The sequence below is a fragment of the Homo sapiens genome, chromosome 2 (genome assembly GCF_000001405.40).
Source record: "Homo sapiens chromosome 2, GRCh38.p14 Primary Assembly".
NCBI lineage: Eukaryota > Metazoa > Chordata > Mammalia > Primates > Hominidae > Homo > Homo sapiens.
Genome location: NC_000002.12, coordinates 53,982,768 through 54,007,238, shown reverse-complemented (window position 1 = coordinate 54,007,238; position 24,471 = coordinate 53,982,768). Strand labels below are relative to the sequence as shown.

General features: G+C 43.1%; 1 protein-coding gene across 2 annotated transcripts in view, besides 1 other annotated feature; it reads right to left on the bottom strand.

Annotated features, from left to right (window-relative positions):
* ACYP2 (acylphosphatase 2) overlaps window positions 1-24,471 on the bottom strand; it is a 334,188-nt gene that overhangs the window by 298,062 nt on the left and 11,655 nt on the right. The gene's annotated exons all lie outside the window — the stretch shown is intronic.
* Window positions 19,610-19,659: a silencer, noted in NCBI's record as "silent region_11484". NCBI's record gives its function as "represses an Ori minimal core promoter by ATAC-STARR-seq in GM12878 lymphoblastoid cells {active_cell/tissue: GM12878}" and the evidence as "EXISTENCE:reporter gene assay evidence [ECO:0000049][PMID:35858748]".

Here is a 24,471-nt window from a genome sequence, read left to right as displayed (position 1 = left end):
GGATGATGGGAGGGGCCTGAACTCCGCTAAAATGTAGGCGTAGTTTCTTTTCTTTTTCTTTCTTTCTTTCTTTCTTTTTTTTTTTTTTTTTTTTTTTTTTGACACAGAGTCTCTCTCTGTTGCCCAGGCTGGAGTGCAGTGGTACAATCTCAGCTCACTGCAACCTCCACCTCCTAGGTTCCGCCTCCTTGGTTCAAGTGATTCTCCTGCCTCAGCCTACCGAGTAGCTGGGATTACAGGCACATGCCACCAAGCCTGGCTAATTTTTGTATTTTTAGTAGAGATGGGGTTTCTCCATATTGGCCAGGCTGGTCTTGAACACCTGATCTCAAGTGATCCATCCGCCTCGGTCTCCCAAAGTGATGGGATTACAGGTGTGAGCCACCACACCCAGCCAAATGTAGGCAGTTTCTATAACCCTTACTGCTTAGGAGTCATGTGCCAGAAGTCACAATATCTGTGGCTTCCCCAATTGTTTCTACAGATAACATCTCCTATAGATAGTTTGAGCCCAAGAGATCAAGGCTGCAGTCAGCTGTTATTGCCCACTGCACTCTAGCCTGGGTGACAAAGCAAGACCCTGTCTGGGAAAACAAAAAGTAAATAAATAAACAAATCTAAGAAGAACTAAATAAATAGAGAGAGATACTGACTGGGCACAGCGGCTCACACTTGTAATCTCAGCACTTTGGAGGGCCGAAGCAGGAGGATCACTTAAGCCCAGAAGTTCAAGCCCAGAAGTTCTGGGCAGCACAGCAAGACACCATCTCTACAAAAAATCAAAAAACTAGAGGCCGGGCGCGGTGGCTCATGCCTGTAATCCCAGCACTTTGGGAGGCCGAGGCGGGTGGATCACCTGAGGTCAGGAGTTCTAGACCAGCCTGGCCAATATGGTGAAACCCCTCTCTACTAAAAATACAAAAATTAGCCGGGCGTGGTAGCAGGACCCTGTAATCCCAGCTACTTGGGGGGCCGAGGCAGGAGAATCGCTTGAACCCAGGAGGCAGAGGTTGCAGTGAGCCGAGATCGTACCATTGCACTCCAGCCTGGGGGACAAGAGTGAGACTTCGTCTCAAAAAAAAATTAGAAAATTAGCTGGACATGGTGCATACCTGTAGTCCCAGCTACTCAGAAAGCTCAGGTGGGAGGAACACTTGATCCCAGGAGACTGAGCCTGCAGTGAGCTGTGATCAAGCCACTGCACTGCAACCTGGGTGACAGAGTGAGATGAAGTCTCACCACGCCCGGCCTATATGTTTTTTAAAGACAAATACACCATGTTTATGATTACGAAAACTCAATATTATCAGGATGTCAGTTCTTTCCAACTTGATCTATAGATTTAATGCAATTCCAATCAAAATTCTAGCAAGTTATTTGGTGATTTTTAACCAACTGATTCTAAAGTTTATATGGAAAGGCAAAAGACCTAGGATAGCCAACACAATATTGAAGGAGAAGGACAAGGTCAGAGGACTGACACTACCTGATTTCAAGACTTTACTGTAAAGCTACAGTGATAAAGATGTATAAATGTGTCAAATGAATAAATGAATTGATCTTGGTCAATGGAACAGAAAAGAGAAACCATAGGCCTTCAGGCTGGGCGCAGTGGCTGACACCTGTAATCCCAGCACTTTGGGAGGCTGAGGCAGGTGGATCACCTGAGGTCAGGAGATCGAGACCAGCCTGGCCAACATGGCAAAACCCGTCTCTACTAAAAATACAAAAATTAGCCAGGTTTGGTGGCACACGCCTGTACTCCCAACTACTTGGGAGGCACAGGCAGGAAGATCGCTTGAACCTGGCAGGTGGAAGTGGCAGTGAGCCAAGATTGTGCCCTTACACTCCAGCCTGGGAAACAGAATAAGACTCCGTCTCAAAAAAAAAAAAAAATAGACTTTCATAAACAGAGTCAACTGATCTTTGGCAAAGCAACAAAGACAACACAATGGAGAAAATATAGTCTTTTCAACAAATGGTGCTAGAGTAACTGGATATACACACATACATGCACACACAAATCTAGATATAGACATTACATACTTCACAAAAATTTACTCAAAATGTATCACAGGCTACCTGTAAAATGATAAAACTATAAAATAATATTGAAGAAAATATAGATGACCTTAAATTTAAGGCTTTTTATTTTTATTTTTTTAAAGCTAACTCTTTAGATACAACACCAGAGAGACACTATACAGAGAGTGAGAAGACAAGCCACACACTGGAGAAAATACTTGCAAAAGACATGTCTGATAGAAGACTGTTAGACTGTTATCAAAAATATACAAAGAGCTCTTTTCTTTTCTTTCTTTTGTTTTTTTTTTTTTTTTTTTTTGAGACAGAGTCTTGCACTGTTGCCCAGGCTGGAGTGCAGTGGTGAGATCTCGGCTCACTGCAACCTCTGCCTTCCAGGTTCAAGTGATTCTCCTGCCTCAGCCTCCCACACACGGCTGAGACAAAGAACTCTTAAAGCTCAATAATAAGAAAATGAACAATCTGCTTTAAAAAAATGGGTAAACTGGCTGAGCGCGGTGGCTCACACCTGTAATCCCAGCACTTTGGGAGGCCAAGGCGGGCCGATCACAAGGTCAGGAGATCAAGACCATCCTGGCTAACACTGTGAAACCCGTCTCTACTAAAAATACAAAAAAATTAGCCAGGCATGGTTGCAGGCGCCTGTAGTCTCAGCTACTTGGAAGGCTGAGGCAGGAGAATGGTGTGAACCCGGAAGACAGAACTTGCAGTGAGCCAAGATCGTGCCACTGCACTCCAGCCTGGGCGATAGAGCGAGACTCTGTCTCAAAAAAAAAAAAAAAAAAAAAAAAGGCTAAACTACCTGAACAGACACCTCACCAAAGAAGATACACAGATGGCAGGTAAGGATATGAAAAGATGCTGAACAGAATATGTCATTAGGGAATTGCAAATTAAAATGATGAGGTAGGCTGGGTGCAGTGGCTCATGCCTGTAATCCCAGCACTTTGGGAGGCCGAGGTGGGCGGATCACCTGAGGTCCAGAGTTCAAGACCAGCCTGGCCAACATGGTGAAAGCCCATCTCCATTAAAAATACAAAAAAAATTAGCTGGGCATGGCGGCGCATGTCTGTGGTCCCAGCTGCTCGGGAGGCTGAGTCAGGAGAATCGTTTCAACCTGGGAGGCAGAGGTTACAGTAAGCTGAGATCGCGCCATTGCATTCCAGCCTAGGTGACAAAGCAAGACTCCATCTCAGAAAAAAAAACAAAAAACAAAACAACAAAACACAAAACAAAAACAAAGAGGTACCACTACGCATCTATGAGAATGGCCAAAACCCTAAACATTGACAACAATAAATGCTAGCGAGGAGCTAGATCAACAGAAACTCTCATTGTTGCTAGTAGGAATGCAAAATGGCATAGGCGCTTTGGAAGATGGTTTGACAGTTTTTTATAAAACTATACATACTCTTACCATACAATCCAGCAGTCACATTTGGTATCAGTATTTACCCAAATGAGTTGAAACATGTTCACACAAAACCCTACACATAGATATTAATAGCAGTTTTATTCATAATTGCCAAAACTGGGGGAAAAAAACAAGATACCTTACAATAGGTAAATGGATATATAAACTGTGGTACATCCAGACAACTGAACATTATTCAGTGTTAAAAAGAAATGAGCTCTGGGCCAGGCACAGTGGCTCACGCCTGTAATCCCAGCACTTTGGGAGGCCGAGGTGGGCGGATCACTGGAGGTCAGGAGTTCAAGACAAGCCTGACCAACATGGAGAAACCCCATCTATACTAAAAATACAAAAATTAGCCGGATGTGGTGGCAGATGCCTGTAATCCCAGCTACTCAGGAGGCTGAGGCAGGAGAATCGCTTGAACTTGGGAGGCGGAGGTTGCGGTGAGCCAAGATCACGCCATTGCACCCCAGCCTGGGCAACAAGAGTGAAACTCTGTCTCAATAAATAAATAAATAAATAAGCGAGCTCGGCTGGGCGCACTGGCTCACACCTGTAATCCCATCACTTTGGGAGGCTGATGCAAGAGGATCACTTGAGGCCAGGGGTTCGAGACCAGCCTGCCAACATGGTGAGAGCCTGTCCTTATTAAAAATAAAAAAATTAGCTGTGCATGATGGCGCATGCCTGTAATCCCAGCTACTTGGGAGGCTGAGGCACAAGTATTCACTTGAACCCAGGAGGTGGAGGTTGCATTGAGCCTAGATCATGCCACTGCACTCCAGCCTGGTTGACAGAGTGAGACTCTGTCTCAAAAAATAAAAAATAAAAGGCCAGGCATGGTGGCTCACGCCTGTAATCCCAGCACTTTGGGAGGCCGAGGCGGGCGGATCACCTGAGGTGAGGAGTTCAAGACCAGCCTCAACATGGAGAAACCCCGTCTCTACTAAAAATACTAAATTAGCCAGGTGTGGTGGTGCATGCCTGTAATCCCAGCTACTCAGGAGGCTGAGGCAGGAGAATTGCTTGAACCTGGGAGGCACAGGTTGTGGTGAGCCGAAATCGCACCATTGCACTCCAGCCTGGGCAGCAAGAGCGAAACTCCGTCTCAAAAAAAATAAAATAAAATAAAATGGCCAGGCATGGTAGCTCATGCCTATAATCCTAGCACTTTGGGAGGCCGAGGCAGGTGAATCAGTTGAGTGCAAGACCAGCCTGGCCAACATGGTGAAACCCTGTCCCTCGTCTCTACTAAAAATACAAAAATTAGCCGGGCATGGTGGTGTGCACTTATAATCCCAGCTACTAGGGAGGCTGAGGCAGGAGAATTATTTAAACCCAAGAAGTGGAGGTTGCAGTGAGCCAAGATTGTGCCACCGCACTCCAGCCTGGGCAACAGAGCAAGACTCCGTCTCAAAAAAAAAAAAAGAAAGAAATGAGCTATGAAGTAATGAAAAGACATAGAGGAAATGTAAATACACACTACTAAGTGAAAGATGACAATTGGAAAACACTACATACTGTATGACTCCTGCTGTATAACATTCTGGAAAAGTCTAAACTGTGGAGACAGTAAAAAGATCAGAGGTTGCCAGGTGTTAAGGGAGAGTAGGAATGAATAGGCAGGACATGGAGGATATTTAGAACATTGAAATTATTCTGTATGATATTATAATAGTGGAAACATATTATTGTACATTTGTCAAAACCCATAGAATGTACACCACCAATGGTGAACCCTAATGTAAACTATGGACTTTGGGTGATAATGATGGGTCAATGTAGGTTCATTAATAGTAACAAATGTATGACTGTTGTGGGGTATGTTGATAGTGGAAGAGGTTGTGCATGTGTGGGGACAGGGGAAATATGGGAACTCTCTGTACTTTTCACGCAATTTTTCTGTGAACCTAAAACAGCTCTAAACTATTAAGTCTATTGAAAACAACAGCAACAACCAAGCCATGGCAGGAGGAAGACTTCCTTGGCCTAACAGAGGGTATTTTCAGAAGTCAGATACTTGGGCCTTACCCCAAATCTACTGAATCATTTCTGCAGGAATAGGACGCAGAAATAAGTATTTTTGGCTAGACACAGTGGCTCACTCTTGTAATCCCAGCACTTTGGAAGGCCGAGGTGAGTGGATCACCTGAGGTCAGAAGTTCGAGACCAGTGAAGCCAACATAGTGAAACCCTATCTCTACTAAAAATACAAAAATCAGCTGGGCTTGGTGGCATGCACCTGTAATCCCAGCTACTTGGGAGGCTGAGGCAGGAGAATCACTTGAACTCAGAAGGCGGAGGTTGCAGAGAGCTGAGATCACACCACTGCACTTCAACCTGGGCGACAAGAGCAAAACTCCATCTCAAAAATAAAAAATACATATTTTTAAATTTGTTATTTTTTTTTAGAGACGAGGTCTCACTATGTTCAGGCTGGGGTGCAGCGGCTATTCAAAGGCACCAAACATGTGACTGCAGCTTCAAACACCCAGACCCAAGTATTCCTCCCACCTTAGCCTCTCAAGTGGCTAGGACTACTATGGTAGTGTGTGCCACCATGCCCAGCTAATTCTTAAATTTTCTGGAGAGACAGAGGTCTCACTATGTTGTCCAGGCTGGTCTTGAAGTCTTGACCTCAATCAATCCTCCTGCCTCAGCCTCCCAAAGGGCTAAAATTATAGGCACAAGGCACCACACTAAGCCAAGGAATCAAAATTTTTAATAAGCATCCGGGAGATTCTTTTGATCCTACTAGTTTGGGGAACATTGGTTTAAGCTATGCTATAGTTGAAAGCAGTCACAGCAGCCTGTGGCCAAGGACTAAAATTGTCAGCTCACAAGACATTTCACAGCAGCATTAGTGGACAAAACTCACTCTAAATGTACCACTGAAGGGGAAATAACTTAAAGCTCAAAGGCAAGGTTGCCCTTCCATATCCCCTTTGAAGTTAGAAGACCATATGACGTGGTTTGGCCAAAGGAATGGGAATGGAAGTGACGTAAGTGGAAAAGATGTGTTCTACTTATGGGCAGAAATTTTCAGAGCCAGGGAACATCTTATCACATTCCCTTGCCCCTGCTGGGGTTATCATGAAAAAAACCTGTTGCAACTCCAACTTCTAGTTCCTTAAATGAATGTAGTGTGATCAGATCTCTGTCACTTCTCAATTAATGTGCAGTATGAGTGAAAAATTAATTTGTTGTTTCAAGTCTCTAAGAATTTGAGGTTCTGCGTTATCACAGCATAACCCAGCCTATCCTGACTGACACAGGTTTTTCTAAATGAAAAGGAAAAGCTTCCCCCTTAGAAATGGAGAATTCAAAGTGCCAAATTTAACGTCTTGTAATTAAGTTTATGTTTACAGATCATGGATTCCAGAAACCTTATGTCAGATCAACTACCTTGGTAAAGCTAAAACTCAGAATTTCTCTTCCTCACACCTCTGACATCAGCCTTTGACCTGGTATTTGGCAACACCAATTAACAGGCTCTGGGGACATACTTTTTCTTGGAATAACTACACAAGAGTCTGGGGAATAGCTTTTTCTAAATTTGATGGGTGTGGGGACAAAACTATAATAATTTTGGGTGTTATTTACTTTTTGGACCCCTAAGAAGCTCAATGAGCTTCTTAGTAAAATAATATAATTTCTATTATATAGAAATAAGTATATAGAAATTTCTATTATATTGAAATAACAGATAGTAAATTAATATAATTTCTGTCCAAGCTGCAACTGCTTAAAAAAAATCCCAACCCTATTTAAGGTTTAAGAACCCCTCTAATTAAGATTGGGTAAAACACAGAGATGATGAATTCTGAACATTAATTTCTTTGAAGTTTAAATCTCAAGGGCAAGTGGATTTGACTTCAGACACTAACTGCTTTGGACTTAATTTGCATGGGGTTTTAATCTTTGCACTTTAATTTTCCCTGGGAATTTGATCATGGGAGAGAGGGTCTTTGTGTTTACTGTATTTTATTATTAAAGTATTTTAATGGTGCCAGGTCGTCTCATTGCAAGCTCTCTGAAATGTGAGATTGGACAATGCTACTGAAAATCATTGTTATGGAAAATAGACCAGGGGATTAATTTTCAGATTTGAAGTTTCTTTAATTAAGGTACTATTTGTGGTGGTTATAAAACAGGGCCTGTTTTATGTCTTGTCCTAGCAGCGTCTCTCCTATGCAGGGCTTCATCCTGGAAGGGTGCTAGGTTGGTTTTCAGCACTGACCCAAAGGGGCTAGAACATTCCAGCACCATCCAATCTTCCCACAATTCCCTTGGTTTCACCTGCAAAATAGAGCCCATGAAGTTCCTCTCTGATTTTGACTGCTATCCTCAGATGGGCCCTCTAAGATTTCACTCACTAAGTGGGACTCCTTCCTTCCTGGGCATGTTTTGGTAACTTGGCTTTTGGCTTTGTTTTATTTAGCTCCCTCTGCCTCCTCCCACCTGTGAATCTTGTTGCTCTCATGACATCTCCCTGTATGTGTATATTTGAGGGCTCATAAACTTGCTATTGATGTTGTTTGCAGGTTTTAGGTTTTGCGATCCAAGTTACTGTATCTGTGTTTGTGGCAAGTTTTGGGGCTATTAAAAAACTGTGCCACTGCCAACTGCCCAGAATTCCTTTTACTTTTTTTCTTAATCCCTTTATGTAGCAGAGATAATTATATCCTCCCACATCCTTTTTTGTATTTCCTTTACAGTTGCCTACCCTTCCCCAACAATTAAGCATGGCCATGTGACAAGTTCTCACTAATGAAACTTGCATGGAAGTAACAGGTGTCACTTCAGAACAGTGGCCGTGGGATCCCTCCACATGACTCTAGTCTCTTCCCCTTCAGTCATGAACAGAGAGCCCAAAGAATGAAACAGCCTGGATTCGTGAATCTCAGCATGGAGGGCAGCAGTCTCTACTTGAGTTTGCATTAGAAGGGAAATTTTTTTCTTTTCTTTTTTTTTAAACCCAGTCCTCCAGGCTGGAGTACAGTGGTGCAATTTTGGCTCACTGCAACCTCTGCCTCCTAGGCTCAAGCCATCCTCCATCCTCAGCCTCTCAAGCAGCTGGGAATACAGGTGGAGGCCACCATGCCCAGCTAATTTTTGTATTTTTAGTAGCACTGGGGGTCTTCCTATGTTGCCCAGGCTGGTCTTGAACCCCTGGGCTCAAACGATCCACCCCTCTCAGCCTCCCAAAGTGCTGGGATTACAGGCATGAGCCACTGTGCCCAGCTGGAAATAAACTTTTATGTGTTAAGTCACTAATATTTTGGGTCTGTTGCCACAGCATAAATCCAGACTACCCAGACACTTTCCCAACCAATTCGTTTATTAATCATCCTCTTTCACTTTTTCTGTTAATATGCTCAAGTATCTCCCATCCAAACAAAACCCTTCCCCTGATCCTATAGTTGCTTAAGTTATCATACAGATTTATTCTCATTCACTGATACATTTCTGGGAGGAAAAGTCTGTATCGGCTACCTCCACATCCTCACCACCCACTCACTCTTCAATTCCTGGGGACATGGGCTTCTGCTTTCTTCATTCTTCAGAATCTATTTTCTTTAAGATTACCAGTGACCTACTACTTGCCAAATCTTGTTCAACACTACTTGACCTCTCTTCTAAGGCCCCAAATTCTGGTCAAGTTGTTTTAAATCCTTTTATGATCACAGACCCCTTGAAACTCAGATAAAAGAGACAGATCCTATTCCTAGAAAAAATGCAAATACACGTGTATACAAGTTTTTTTATACATTTCAAAGAGTTTTTGATCAGCAAACACCACCAAAGTCTATTCATAAATAGCCTCAATAGGTCTGAACCTTGGGTATAGAATTCTGCCCTAGTCTTTACCTAAGAAAGAAACAGAAGAGGAAGAGGGTCATTCATTTCCGTGAAACAGTCACATGGAGTGTTTTTTCATTTCCCAATGTATTTTCCTATATTACCCTGACATTTTAACTCACTTTATTTTATTTTATTTTTTGCAATTCTGTAGTGGCTTCTTAATCTATTCCCCATCTATCTCTTAATTCAGTCATGGAGTAGTTGCTAAGTATAAACACTGTGCTCCTATTACACCAAAGGAAATGACATAGAGCTGAAAAAGAGATATGTCCTCATTAAAACTTGAGTACTAAAAGAAGGAAAAATATGGCCGGGTGCGGTGGCTCATACCTATAGTCTCAGCACTTTGGGAGGCCGAGGAGAGTGGATCACCTGAGGTCAGGAGTTCGAGATCAGCCTGACCAACATGGTGAAACCCTCTCTCTACTAAAAATACAAAAATTAGCCGGGCTTGGTGGTGCATGCCTATAGTCCCAGCTACTCAGTAGGCTGAGGCATGAGAATCACTTGAAGCCGGAAGGCAGAGGTTGTAGTGAGCTGAGATTGCACCACTGCACTCCAGCCTGGGCAGCAGAACAAAACTCTGTCTCAAAAAACAATAATAATAATTTTAAAAAGAAGGAAAAATATGAACAAGGGCGAGACATATTGATATACTTCTGAGGAAGGGTCAATACTATACTGTACTATAGTATACCTACCATACTTTCTATAGGAGAGTAAATGTAATCCTTCAAAGATAGGTTTGGTTTTGATAGGTAGATAGAAGAGAGAATGGTTTGTCAAATGGGGTAGAAGGTATTATGTGAGCAACAAGAGATCTGTAAATACAAACGAATATTGGGGAGATAGTGAATAGGTTCCACATATGTTGACCACAGAGGACACAAAGTTATATAAAAACAGAATGGTAGATTGGGGCTAGTCGTGTGTCAGCCTTGAGTATCAGCCTAAATAGTCTGGGCTTTATTTTGTACATAATAGGGAGACGCAACATTTTTGAGCAAAAGACTGACAAGGTAAAAATGATCTTTTAGAAAGATTAATCTGCTAAAAGTATTTAATACAGAGATGAGGGAATGGTCAAAGAAGAAGAATTAGGAGACAGTGCAACAGTCTGTGCTCTGTACTTGTGAAGCATAGATCTGAAATGCATGAGGAGAGCAATATTAGCAAAAGGGGCACAGCTGATGTAGCAGGCATGAAAGTACATTGCTTGGATCTCCTTTTAGCTGAAAGAATACACTTAGCTAATGGCCATCAGCTGCAGCACCTTTGGAATCTACCACAGCAAGCTGAGGTTATGATCTTCCCAGGCAGCCCATACCAGTGGCTGATCATGGCAGCATTAACAGGACCAGTTCTACCCATTGCAAAACTTCTCTTAACAGGCAATCTTTGCTCTTCATCTCCCCATTAAGTAGGCTGAGACTTTGCTCAATATATATCAAAGTCTCAGGCTCTCCTGGCCCAATCCTCTTTACTCCCCTCTTTCCTTTCACAGATATCAGATCAGCATCCAGATCTGAAGGCTTTCTTTACCCAATCCTCCATCCTCCTTTTTTATCTCTCATAGGTGTACATCCCCATCACCATTCCACCCCCTACACTTCTTGCACTTCCAACTTTATTTCAGTGTCTGCTTCCTGAAGGACCCAAAACTACACAACTCTAAATAGAAAAGCTGGATGTATCTATCAAGGAATCTTATTCTCTTAGAACCAACTATGCCTAGAATAGCCGTTTGTACATTGTGAGTCTTTTTTTTTTTGGGTGGTGGGGACAGAGTTTCGCTCTTGTTGCCCGGGCTGGAGTGCAGTGGCACAATCTAGGCTGACTGCCATCTCCACCTCCCAGGTTCAAGCAATTCTCCTGCCTCAGCCTCCCATGTAGCTGGGATTACAGACATCCACCACCAAGCCCAGCTAATTTTTTGTAATTTTGGTAGACACAGGGTTTCACCACGTTGGCCAGGCTGGTGTCAAACTCCTGATTTCAGGTGATCCGCCCGCCTCGGCCTCCCCACGTGCTGGGATTATAGGCGTGAACGACCGTGCCCAGCCCATTGTGGGTCTTTAGTGTTAAATATAAAAACGCTTTGGAAATATGTGGGAAGTTACACCCTACAAAATTTACATAAGTAAAAAATTAATAGTATTGAGGCCAGGCGAGCTGGCTCACACCTGTAATCTTAGCACTTTGGGAGGCCGAGGCAGACAGATCACTTGAGGTCAGGAGTTTGAGACCAGCCTGGCCAACATGATGAAACCTTGTCTCTACTAAAAATAAAAAAATTAGCTGGAAATCCCTGGAACCCAGGAGGCGGAGGTTGCAGTGAGCTGAGATCATGCCACTACATTCCAGCCTGGGCAACAGAAAGAGACTCTGTCTCAAAAATAAATAAATAAATAAATAAATAAATAAAAAATAAATAAATAAATAAAAAATAATAGCATTGAATTAATTGTGTCTAGAATTAAAGAAGATATTTTAAGTTTAATTATTTCATGCACTAGAAAATGAAGAAATGTGATGATTTATGCATTGAGAAAAACACCAAGGTCACTGTAGATATGGATGTTTTATACATGCTGAAATCTTTTCTCTGATGTAACTTGAGATTAAAGAAGAGACTAAAGTAGCTATTTGGACATTTCTCTATTTAGAGGAACCAATTTTTTTTCTCAAACAGATATCTTCATCTCACAACTGAAAGTCATAATGGGATAGATGGGCAGGACAGAGCAGTTCTCTGAGAGAAGAGCTGCAGCTAGAGTTTAGCAACTATGAGAGACAGAACATGCACTAAAGATACGACCTTCAGATAACAAAGATTCTTAAAATTTCTTTTGAATATTCTTTATGTCTTCTTTTCATGAGACACTGACGCAAAAACAGAAAGACACTCTTGTCATAGCGGTGTTGAAAACATATATATAAAGAACTGTCACATGGTATACCAACTCAAATTCAGAATATAACGGAAACGCTACATGACAGACCATCTTACACTATCAGCCCAACATAACCACTCTTCCTGTTTTGTTTGATGGGGGAAGTTATAATGTAATGCCAGAGGTATATTTTATGTGTGTGTATTAGGCTGTGGAAGATTGGTTGACTGGCTTTTGGTCACTGAGTTTCAGATATTCAGTTCTAGAATAATTTGGGAATAAAATTGCTATCCTATAGTAGTTTTGAGCTATTAAGAACTATTTGGTTGAAGGTCTGATATCTTATTCCATTTTTAACTGCTACTCAACACAAGATTTTCCTTTTGAAGTAGGTCTTGGTAGAGGTTGAAGCATTTCCACGATATAATTTCGAATTATTGCCTCTCATAGTCCACCCCAGCATGACCTCTTTCCTGCCAGTTTCCTCTTTTTTTTTTTTTTTTTTCTGAGTCTTACTCTGTCACCCAGGCTGGAGGGCAGTGGTGCAATCTTGGTTCTCTGCAACCTCCACCTCCTGGGTTCAAGTGATTCTCCTGCCTCAGCCTCCCGAGTAGCTGGGACTACAGGCACGTGCCACCATGCCTGGCTAATATTTTGTTTTTTTTCGTTTTTTTTTTTTTTTTTTTTTTTGAGACGGAGTCTTGCTCTGTTACCCAGGCTAGAGTGCAGGGGCGCGATCTCTGCTCACTGCAAGCTCCGCCTCCTGGGTTCAGGCCATTCTCCTGCCTCAGCCTTCCGAGTAGCTGGGGCTACAGGCGCCTGCCACCACGCCCAGCTAATTTTTTGTATTTTTAGTAGAGAAGGGTTTTCACCGTGTTAGCCAGGATGGTCTCGATCTCCTGACCTCGGGATCCGCCCGCCTTGGACTCCCAAAGTGCTGGGATTACAGGCGTGAGCCACTACGCCCAGCCGCCTGGCTAATATTTTGTACGATTTTTAGTAGAGACGGGGTTTCACTGTGTTAGCCAGGATGGTCTCAACTTCTTGACCTGGTGATCCACCCTCCTCGGCCTCCCAAAGCGCTGGGATTACAGGCGTGAACCACCGTGCCTGGCCCAGTTTCCTATATTATACATCCTCTTTCCCAAATTATTTTCTTCCTTACTTTACAAATTCTCAACTTTCTACTTTTTTTCTCTGAACTTCCACGTCTTTTCCACAACCCTCTACTCCCAACTGAGGGTGTTGCCTACTTCTCCGGGAAAATAGAGACTACCAGAAATAGCTTATCTTTTGATTCCCAAATCTTTTTTTTTTTCATCCTTTTTTTTCCCTCACTCTGTCGCTCAGGCTGGAGTGCAGTGGCATGATCTTGGCTTACTGCATCCTCTGCCTCCCAGGTTCAAGCGATTCTTGTGCCTCAGCCTCCCGAGGAGCTGAGACTACAGATGCCCACCACCACACCCAGCTAATTTTGTATTTTTAGTAGAGATGGGGTTTCGCCACGTTGGCTAGGTTGGTCTGGAACTCCTGACCTCAGGTGATCTGCCCACCAGAGCGCTGGGATTACAGGCTTGAACCACCACGCCCGGCCTGATTCCCAAATCTATGATTCAATCTGCACCTGTACTTTTTTTTTCTTCCTTCCAGTTTCAACAGTGGGAGTGTCCCTCCTTCCTTCATTTCACTCCTGCCCTTTGGATCTAATCCTTCCTTCTCCACACCATCATCTCTCTCTTTCTAATAACTTCTGATTTCTGATCCCAAAGATGGGCTAGCATCTCTCATCTGAGAAAGCGAAACAAAGCAAAAACCTTTTCTTGTCAACCTCTGTCGCCCATGCTGAAGTGCAGTGGTGCCATCTCGGCTCACCGCAACCTCTGCCTCCTGGGTTCAAGCGATTCTCGTGCCTCAGCCTGCCAAGTATCTGGGACTATAAGCATGTGCCACCACACCTGGCTAATTTTTGTATTTTGGGTAGAAACAGGGTTTCACCATGTTGGTCAGGCTGGTCTCGAACTCCTGGATTCAAGTGATCCGTCTGCCTTGACCTCCCAAAGTGCTGGGATTACAGGTGTGAGTGAGCCACCATGGCTGGCCATAAAACCTTTTTTCTGATGCGTATTCTCTTTAAGTTACTTCTCCTTCTTTTGCTTCCCGTCACTGGAAAACTTTTTTTTTTTTTTTTTGAGATGGAGTTTCACTATGTCGCCTAGGCTGGAGTACAGTGGTGTGGTCTCAGCTCGCTGCAACCTCAGCCTCCTGGTTTGAAGTGATTATCCTGCCACAGCCTCCCAAGTAGCTCGGACTACAGGTGCACACCACCATGCCCAGCTAATTTTTGTATTTTTAGTAGAGACGGGGTTTCACCATGTTGGCCAGGCTGTTCTCAAACTCCTGACCTCAGGTGATCTGCCCACCTTAGCCTCCCAAAGTGCTGGGATTACAGGCGTGAGCCACCGCACCCGACCTCCAAAATATTTCTCATCTCTGAGTACTTCTCACCGTTGGCACTACTTCTACCGTGATACAAGCCATTGTCATCTCTCATTGAATTGCTGAAAACGCCTCCTAATTAGTCACAGTACTTTCATTCTTATCCCCTTATAATCTATAGTCCATTCAGAGTCAGGAGAGATCTTTTGAAAGTTTAAATCAATTTATATCATTTTCCTGATTAAAAACTTGTCTATAGGTTTCCATTGCACTTAGAGTAAATTTAAGTGCTTGGTTCACTCACTAGGTTAAAATTAAAAGTAAGTGCTTACTATGACACTGGTGAAAAGAAGGAAGGAAGGAAGGAGAAAGAAGAAAGGAAGGAAGGAAGGAGAAAGAAGGAAGGAAGAAAAAAAGTAGGAAGGAAGGAAAGAAAGAAAGGAAGGAAGAAAGAAGGAAGAAAGGGAGAGAGGGAGGGAGGGAAGGAGGAAGGAAGGAAGGAAGGAAGGGGAAAAAAGGAAGGAAAGAGGGAGGGAAGGAGGGAGGAAGGAAGGAGGGAAAGAGGGGCAAGAGCTCTTACATTGTGAAAAAGCTTGGCTTGATCAAGAAATTGAAAGAAGCTGGGTGTGGTGTCATGTGCCTGTAGTCTTAGCTACTTGGGAGGCTTGGCAGGAGGATTGCTTTAGGCCAAGAGCTCGAGTCTGCAGTACCCTATGAGCGCACTTGTGAATAGCCACTACACTCCATCTTGTACAACATACTTAGCCCTCATCGCTAAATAAAAATAAATAAATATAAAAAACTTAAAAAAAATTGAGAGAAGGTCGGAGTGCCTGGAGCAGGGTGAATGAGGTAAAATCAATATATGAGATGAAATACGGCCAGGCACAGTGGCTCACACCTGTAACCCCAACACTTTGGGAGACTGAGGCAGGTGGATCACCTGAGGTCGGGAGTTCGACACCAACCTGACCAACATGGAGAAACCCTGTCTCTACTAAAAATACAAAATTATCCAGGTGTGGTGGCGCATGCCTGTAATCCCAGCTACTCAGGAGGCTGAAGCAGGAGAATCACTTGAACCTAGGAGGCAGAGGTTGCAGTGAGCCAAGATCGCACCACTGCACTCCAACCTGGGCGAAAGAGTGAAATTCCATCTCAAAAAAAAAAAAAGAAAAAAAAGTTACACATACACCAGCCATTCTATGCCTAGGTATGTATCCAAGAGAAAAGTAGTTATATGTCCATACAATGACTTATACATGAATATTTATTGAAGCTTTATTTGTAATACCCAGAAACTGGGAACAACCAAAACGTCCATTAACAGATGAATGGATAAGCAAACTATGGTATGTTCATAGAATGCTACTCAGCAACATTTGAGAGAAAATTATAAAATCACAACATCTGATGATGACCAGCAGCATACCTTTGAACACTTGACCAGCAGCATCACCTGGAAGCTTGTTAGAAACACAAATTCTCGACAGGGCACGGTGGCTCACGCCTGTAATCCCAGCACTTTGGGAGTCCCAGGCGGGCGGATCACAAGGTCAGGAGATCTAGACTATCCTGGCTAACACAGTGAAACCCCGTCTCTACTGAAAATATAAAAAATTAGCCGGGCGTGGTGGCGGGCACCTGTAATCACAGCTACTCGGGAGGCTGAGGCAGGAGAATGGCGTGAACCCAGGAAGCGGAGCTGGCAGTGAGCCGAGATCGCGCCACCGCACTCCAGCCTGGGCGACAGAGCGAGACTCTGCCTTAAAAAACAAAAAACAAAACAAAAAAAAAACGCAAATTCTTAGGTCATCTGCAGACCTACTGAATCAGAAACTCTGACAGTAGAAGCTCTCTCAACCACTGCTTTATGCTAATTTGCTGAAAGTGAGGATTCTTTTTCTTTTTTTTTCTTTTTTTTTTTTTTTGGTAAGACGGAGTTTTGCTCTTGTCTCCCAGGCTGGAGTGCAATGGTGCCATCTCGGCTCGCTGCAAACTGCACCTCCCGGGTTCAACAGATTCTCCTGCCTCAGCCTCCCAAGTAGCTGGGATTACAGGTGGCCGCCACCACGCCCAGCTAATTTTTGTATATTTAGTATATTTGGGGTTTCACCATGTTGGCCAGGCTGGTCTCAAATTCCTGACCTCAGGTGATCCACCTGCCTCAGCCTCCCAAGGTGGTGGGATTACAGGCATGAGCCACAGCTCCCAGCTAGGATTCTTGATATATCAACTATCTTGCTTGTTAGAAGTGAACTCTGGCTAAATTAAATAGAAGATGAATTTACTGAAAAGTGTTATATGCCAGGAGTGGTGGCTCATGCCTGTAATCACAACACTTTGAGAGGCCGAGGCGGGTAAGTCACTTGAGGTCAGGAGTTCAAAACCAGCCTGACCAACATGGTGAAACCTTGCCTCTACTAAAAATACAAAAATTAGCCAGGTGTAGTGGTGCATGCCTGTAGACCCAGCTACTCCGGAGGCTGAGGCAGGAGAATTGCTTGAACCCAGGAGGTAGAGGTTGCAGTGAGCCGAGATCACACCATTGCACTCAGCCTGGGCAACAGAGCAAGACTCCATCTCAAAAAAAAAAAAAAAAGAAAAGAAAAGAAAAGGGTTTATGTAACTCACAGAAGTGATGAGAAATGATGAAAACATTCTCAAACAATTGGCTGGGACCAAGGGAGTAGGAGTGGCAGGAACAGTCTGGTGGAGATGCTGCTGCCACCACCAACATAGGACATCTCTAGTATTTGACATAATGGCCACTGTAGGCAGCCACTACTCACAATAAACACAGCCTCAATGCCAAACTGCTAATACTAGAGCTACCACAGATCCAATATCACTTATCATCCCTTCATCTTGGCATTGCTTACTCAAGACACAAAGTACATAGTGGCTAAATCTGGGTCACAAGGCTGTCAGGGGAGTTAGTAGAGGGTGAATCTCATCCCTTAGGCTTCTAAAGTTAGAGGTCAGAGCCTACTTCCCACCAAGACCTAGATAATGGGAGATGTCCCGAATCTAGCAAGTGGGTTCAGATGCTGGGCAGCCAAAAGCAATTACAGATGTCCATTATGATAAGTACCCTAAATACACACATTAGGTGCATTTTAGCAGGACTATGCCCTAAAAGAACTGGGCAAATATATTCTTTGTTTTACTAATATCTGACTCAAGATTTGTCAGGCAGGGCATGGTGGCTCATGCCTATAATCCTAGCACTTTGGAAGGCCGAGGCAGGAAGATTGCTTGAGCCTGGGAATCCTTGTCTGTGAAAAAAAAAAAAAAAAAAAAAAAGAATTGTCTACCAATCTGACTTTTTGTTATTGAAAGATATGTCTTCTTATTTAAGTATTGGCTCACAGTAGATCACAATAGTCGATGGTGCCAGCAGGCACATGCTGGCCTGATAGCCTTTCCACTGCATGTTAGAGTAACGATGAGAAGAAATGACTGGGTTTGGAATATTCCTACTGGGACTGGACTCTTGGTGGCCTTCAGATGGTGTTATTTAAAACTGAATTACAGGCCGGGCGTGGTGGCTCACGCCTGTAATCCCAGCACTTTGGGAGGCCGAGGCAGAAGTTCACCTGAGGTCAGGAGTTGAAGACCAGCCTGGCCAACATGGCAAAAACCCGTCTCTACTAAAAATGCAATAAAAATAGGTGGGCATGGTAGCGCGCACCTGTAATCCCAGCTGCTAAGGAGCCTAAGGCAGGGAAAATCGCATGAACCCGGGAGGCAGAGGTTGCAGTGACCCAAGATCATGCCACTGCACTCCAGCCCAGGTGACAGAGTGAGACTCTGTCTCAAAAAAACAAAACAAAACAAAACAAAAATTGAATTATGGGCCAGGCATGGTGGCTTACACCTGTAATCCCAGCACCATGGGAGGCTGAGACAGGCAGATTGCTTGAGCCCAGGAGCTCAATGCCAGCCTGGGCAACATGGCAAAACCCTGTCTCTACAAAATACACACATATATATTTATATACATATACATATATATAGCCAGGCATGGTGGCACATGCCTGTGGTCCCAGCTTCTCGGGAGGCTGAGGCAAGAGGATCACTTGAACCTGGGAGGTGGAGGTTGCAATAAGCTGAGATCGTGCCACTGCACTCCAGCCTGGGTGACAGAGCAAGACCCTGTCTAAAAATAATAATAAATAAAAAATAAAAGTGAATTACTTGGGACATTCATAGGCAAAACATAAACCTTGACCTAAATGTCATGCCACATATAAAAACTAACTAATGATGAATCATGGACTTAAATGTAAAACAGAAAACTATAAAACTTTTAGAAAAAGAACTTTGGAATCTAGGACTAGGCAAAGTGTTTTTGATTATTATTATTATTATTCTTTTAATATGACATGAAGTCTTGATATGTTGCACAGGCTGGTCTTGAACTCCTGGACTCAAGTAATCCTCCTGCCTCAGCCTCTCGAGTCACTGGGATTACAGGTGCGCAACACCATGCCCAACCTAGTTCTTAGATCTCACACTAAATAAAAGTTTGACACGTTAAAGGAAAAACTGATAAACTGGACCTCATCAATATTAAAAACTTTTGCTCTGTAAAAGATCCCTTTAAGAGACAAACTACAGAAATAAAATATTTGCAAACCACATATCTGACAAAAGAGTAGTATCTGGACTATATAAAGAACTCCCAAAACTCAACAGTTAAAAACCAAGCAATCCAAAAACCAAAAAACAAACAAAAAAACCCACAAGCAATCCAATTAGAAAACATGCAAAAAACATGAGCAGATATTTCACCAAAGAGGATATAAAAATGGTAAATAAGCACATAAAAGCATGTTCCTGTTCAACATCATTACTCATTAGAAGAATGCAAATTAAATCCACAATGAGATCATGGCATGCTTATCAGAAAGGCTAAAATAAAAAGCAGTGACAACATCAGGTATTGGCAGAGAAACCGGATTGCTCTTACAATGCTGATGAGAATGTAAAATGATACAGCCACTCTAGAAAACTGTTTGACAGTTTTTTCTTTACAAAATGAAACACACAACTACCATTTGACCCAGAAATTGCACCCCTGGGCATTTATCCAAGAGAAACTAAAACTTCTGTTTACACAAAAACCTGTAGATGAACTACTTTGTTCTCTTTGCTAAATGGGAATTAGGAGCCTACACTTTGTAAAGAAGTCTGGAACTGCTTCCTTTTTTTTTTTTTTTAACTTTGTATACATACATAAAAGCATAATCCACATCTATAAAAAGATATGTATCATAAATGTACAGCTCAATGAATTTTAACATACTAACCACCCTCATGTAACCATCTCCCAGATGGAGAAACAGGACATAACCAGAACTCCAGAAGGCCTTTTCATGTCCTCTTCCATTCTGTACCCTACCCTCAGGTGTGACCACTTTGTGAACCTCTCATATCACAAATTAGTTTTGCTTGTTATAACACAGAAATGGAATCATACAGAACATGCTCTTGTGTGTCTGATTTTGCTTCAACATTCTGTTTTCAAGATTCATCCATATTGTTGCATGTATTTGTGCATTTTTCATTCTCATTACTGTGTAGTTGTCCTAGTCCATTTGTGTTGTTACAAAGGAATATCAGAGACTGGATAATTTATAAAGAAAAGAGGTTTGGTCGGGTGCGGTGGCTCACACCTATAATCTTAGCACTTTGGGAGGCCAAGGCAGGTGGATCACCTGAGGTCAGGAGTTCAAGACCAGCCTGGCCAAGATGGTGAAACCGGTCTCTCACTAAAAACACAAAAATTACCTGGGCATGGTGGTGCATATCTGTGATCCCAGCTACTCAGGAGGCTGAGGCAGGAGAATCACTTGAACCCAGGAGGCAGAGGTTGCAGTGACCCAAGATCACACCACTGCACTCCATCCTGGGCAACAGAGTGAAACTTCATCTAAAAAAAAAAAAAAGGCCGGGTTTGGTGGCTCACGCCTGTAATTCCAGCACTTTGGGAGGCCGAGGATCACTTGAGGTCAGGAGTTCCAGACCAGCCTGGCCAACATGGTGAAATCCCATCTCTACTAAAAATACACAAATTAGCTGAGTGTGGTGCTGTGTGTCTGTAATCCCAGCTACTCAGGAGACTGAGGCAGGAGAATCGCTTGAACCCAGGAGGCAGAAGTTGCAGTGAGCTGAGATCATGCCACTGCACTCCAGCCTTGGCAACAGAGTGAGACTCCATCAAAAAAAAAAAAAAGAGGTTTACTTGGCTCAAGGTTCTGCAGGCTGTACAGGAAGCATAGTGCGGGAATCTGCTTCCGGTGAGAGCTTCAGGCTGTTTCCACTCATGGTGGAAGGGGAAGAAGAGACAGCATATGCAGAGAGCACATGGTGAGAGAGGAGGCAACAGAAAGAGGGAAGGTGCCAGGCTATTTTATTTTATTTATTTATTTTTATTATTATTATTATTTTTGAGATGGAGTCTCACTCTGTTGCTCAGACTGGAGTGCAGTGGCATTATCTCGGCTCACAGCAACCTCTGCCTCCAGGATTCTCCTGCCTCAGCCTTGCGAGGAGCTGGGATTACAGGTGAACGCCACCATGCCCAGCTAATTTTTTGTATTTTACTAGAGATGGGGTTTCACCATGTTGGCCAGGCTGGTCTCAAATTCCTGACCTCAAGTACTCCTCCCACCTCGGCTTCCTGAAGTGCTGGGATTACAGGCATGAGCCACTGAGCACTGGTCAACCAGGCTATTTTAAACAGCTCGCTTTCAGGTGAAATCTCATGGGAACAAATAGAGCCTGAACTCACTCATCATTATGGGAAGATCATCAAGCCATTCATGAGGGATCCTCCCCCATGACCCAAACACCTTCCATCAGGCCCCAACTCCAACACTGAGGATTAAATTGCAACATGAGGTTTGGAGGGTCAAATATCCCAACTAAAGCAGTGGTATTTCATTGTGCAAACATAAACACAGTTTATCCATTATACTGTTGATATGTTGATAGGTATTTGGATAGTTCTGTATTTTAGACTCTTTGGGGTAGTGCTGCTATGAACATTTAAGTAGATATCTTTTGGAGAACATATATGTATATACGTACACACATTTCTGTTGGGTATTTTCCAGATAGCCATCAGCCTGGGTCCTGAAGTGAGAACATGAAGCAGGATCCCCTTTTGACCTGAGATGGAATATAGTATGAAAAAAATGCTAAATCCTGGCCAGGTGCAGCGGCTCACACCTGTAATCCCAGCACTTTGGGAGGCTGAGGCAGGCGGATCACAAGGTCAGAAGATCGAGACCATCCTGCCTAAATGTGAAACCCTGTCTCTATTAAAAATACAAAAAGTTAACTGGGCGTGGCGGCAGGCGCCTGTAGTTCCAGCTACTCGGGAGGCTGAGGCAGGAGAATGGTGGGAACCAGGGAGGCAGAGCTTGCAGTGAGCGGAAATTGCGCCACTGTGCTCCAGCCTGGGCAACAGAGCGAGACTCCATCTCAAAAAAAAAAAAAAAAAGAAAGAAAAAATGCTAAATCCTAAGCCACTGAGATTTTGGGATTGTTTATTAATGCTGTGTAACCTGGACCAATCTATTCATAAAATTAACATCCTTGTTTTGTTCTTGAGTTTAATGTGTTGGCTTCCAAAGTTTCATTGTTAGGTACAGAGCTTGATAAACATTTTAACAGGTTTTAAGAAGTTCACTTTTATTTTCTTATTTGATAAAAATTGTTATCATGGACTAATAAATGCTTTTTCTGCATTCATCCTACAACATTTGTTAAGATGTTGGGTTTTGTTTTGTTTTGTTTTGGTTTGTCTTGCATGAAGGTGGTGAATTTTATTGGTAGATTTTCTGACATTGAACTAGCCCTGTGTACCTGCAATAAACCTTGCTTGGTCCCAATGTATTTTATATACATACTACATATATTTTATATATATGCTATATATATAATATATAATATATGCATACACACACTTTTCTGGATTCAATTCACTTGAATTTCTTTTTAAGTTTTGCTCTTGTTGCCCAGGCTGGAGTACAGTGGTGCGATCTCGGCTCGCTGCAACCCCCACCCCCCCGGTTCAAGAGATTATCCTGCCTCAGCCTCCCAATTATCTGGGATTACAGGCATGCACCACCACACCCAGCTAATTTTGTATTTTGAGTAGAGATGGAGTTTCACCATGCTGGCCAGGCTAGTCTCAAACTTCTGACCTCAGGTGATGCACCTGCCTCGGCCTCCCAAAGTGCTGGGATTACAGACATAAGCTGCCTCGCCTGGCCAGAATTTTTGTTGAGTTTCTCCATCTATGTTCAGGTGGGACTGGGCTATAATTTCCTCACCTAGTTTTGGTGTGAAGTTTAAATTAGCTCTTGTTCCTAATTGCTAGCTACTAAGGCATTTATTAGCCTTCATCATTTACCTCTAAAGCACCTCACTGTCCACCACTGGTTGCCTCTTCAATGTGCTGGGTACCTTTGTTATGATGATGATGATGGTGATGATGATGAAAATGCCCAGAGTCATCTTTCTAAACCACAAGCCTCCTTGTGTCATGCCCCTACCTCAATGCTTACAGGATAAACCCCCAGCATCCAGCACCTTAGGAAGGCATCCATGACTGCTTGTAATCTGGCCTCAGTTTACCTTCTTGTCTCTTTTCTTGCCATGATATACATTTTCTGTGTTCCTATCACATTGTACTCATTGTTTCCTGGCCTAACTGGGCCCATTGAAAACTCTTGGTCTTTCTACAAACCGATGCTTCTGCTGGGGATATGCTTATTAACTTGCTTGCAAGACTTGATGAGCCAGCTGTCACCCCTTCAACTTCCTCCAAGTATTTGGTTACTACCCATAGCACTGTATTGATATATCTGAAGCAGCTTTTCGGAAAAAATCCAAAATTCTTAACCCAATTTACAAGGTACTACGTGATCTAACTCTGCTTCAGCCGTATATACTATTCTTAATCTCGCTCCCTAAGCATATGGGTGTTTTTTAAATTTCTCATACAAGCCAAATTCTTCCTCTACCTCAAGCTTCCATTCGTACTGTTTTCTTTTCTTTTTTGAGACAGGGTCTTGCTCTGTTGCCTAGGCTGGAGGGCAGTGGTGCAATCACATCTCGCTGCAGCCTCAATCTCCTGGGTTCAAGTGATTCTTCCACCTCAGCCTCCCAAGTAGCTCGGACTACAGGCACATGCCACCACACCCAGCTAATTTTTGTATATTTTGTAGAGATGGGGTTTCGTCATGTTGTCCAGGTTGGTCTTGAACTCCTGGACTCAAGTGATCCTCCTACCTTGGTCTACCAAAGTGCTGGGATTACAGACGTGAGCCACACTGTGCCTGGCCTATTTTCTTAGCTGAATCATTTCTAATCATCCTTCTCCACAAGTCTTCATTCATCAAATGTTGCTTCCTCAAAGAATTTGGTCTAGGCCTTGCATCCTAGTCCAGGTACCCCTGTTCTACATAACCAGAACAACATTTATCCTATTAAAGCATCTAATAAAATTATAACTAAGTACCTGTGAAGTGAGTTGTTTACTGTCTGGCTGCCCCTCTCTAACCAGTGAGCTCCATGATAATAGGACCCATGCAGAAATGGATCTTTACGAAAAGGAATATTTCATGCTAACTTATAGGTTGTTCACATTTCCAGCATATAAATCCCTGGTTCTCCCTGAACCTATTTATATCACACACACACACACACACACACACACACACACACACACACACACAGTCTTGTGTGAAGGATTTGTTGTATGGAAGTTGTGAAAATCAAGGAAAACAGCCAGGCTTA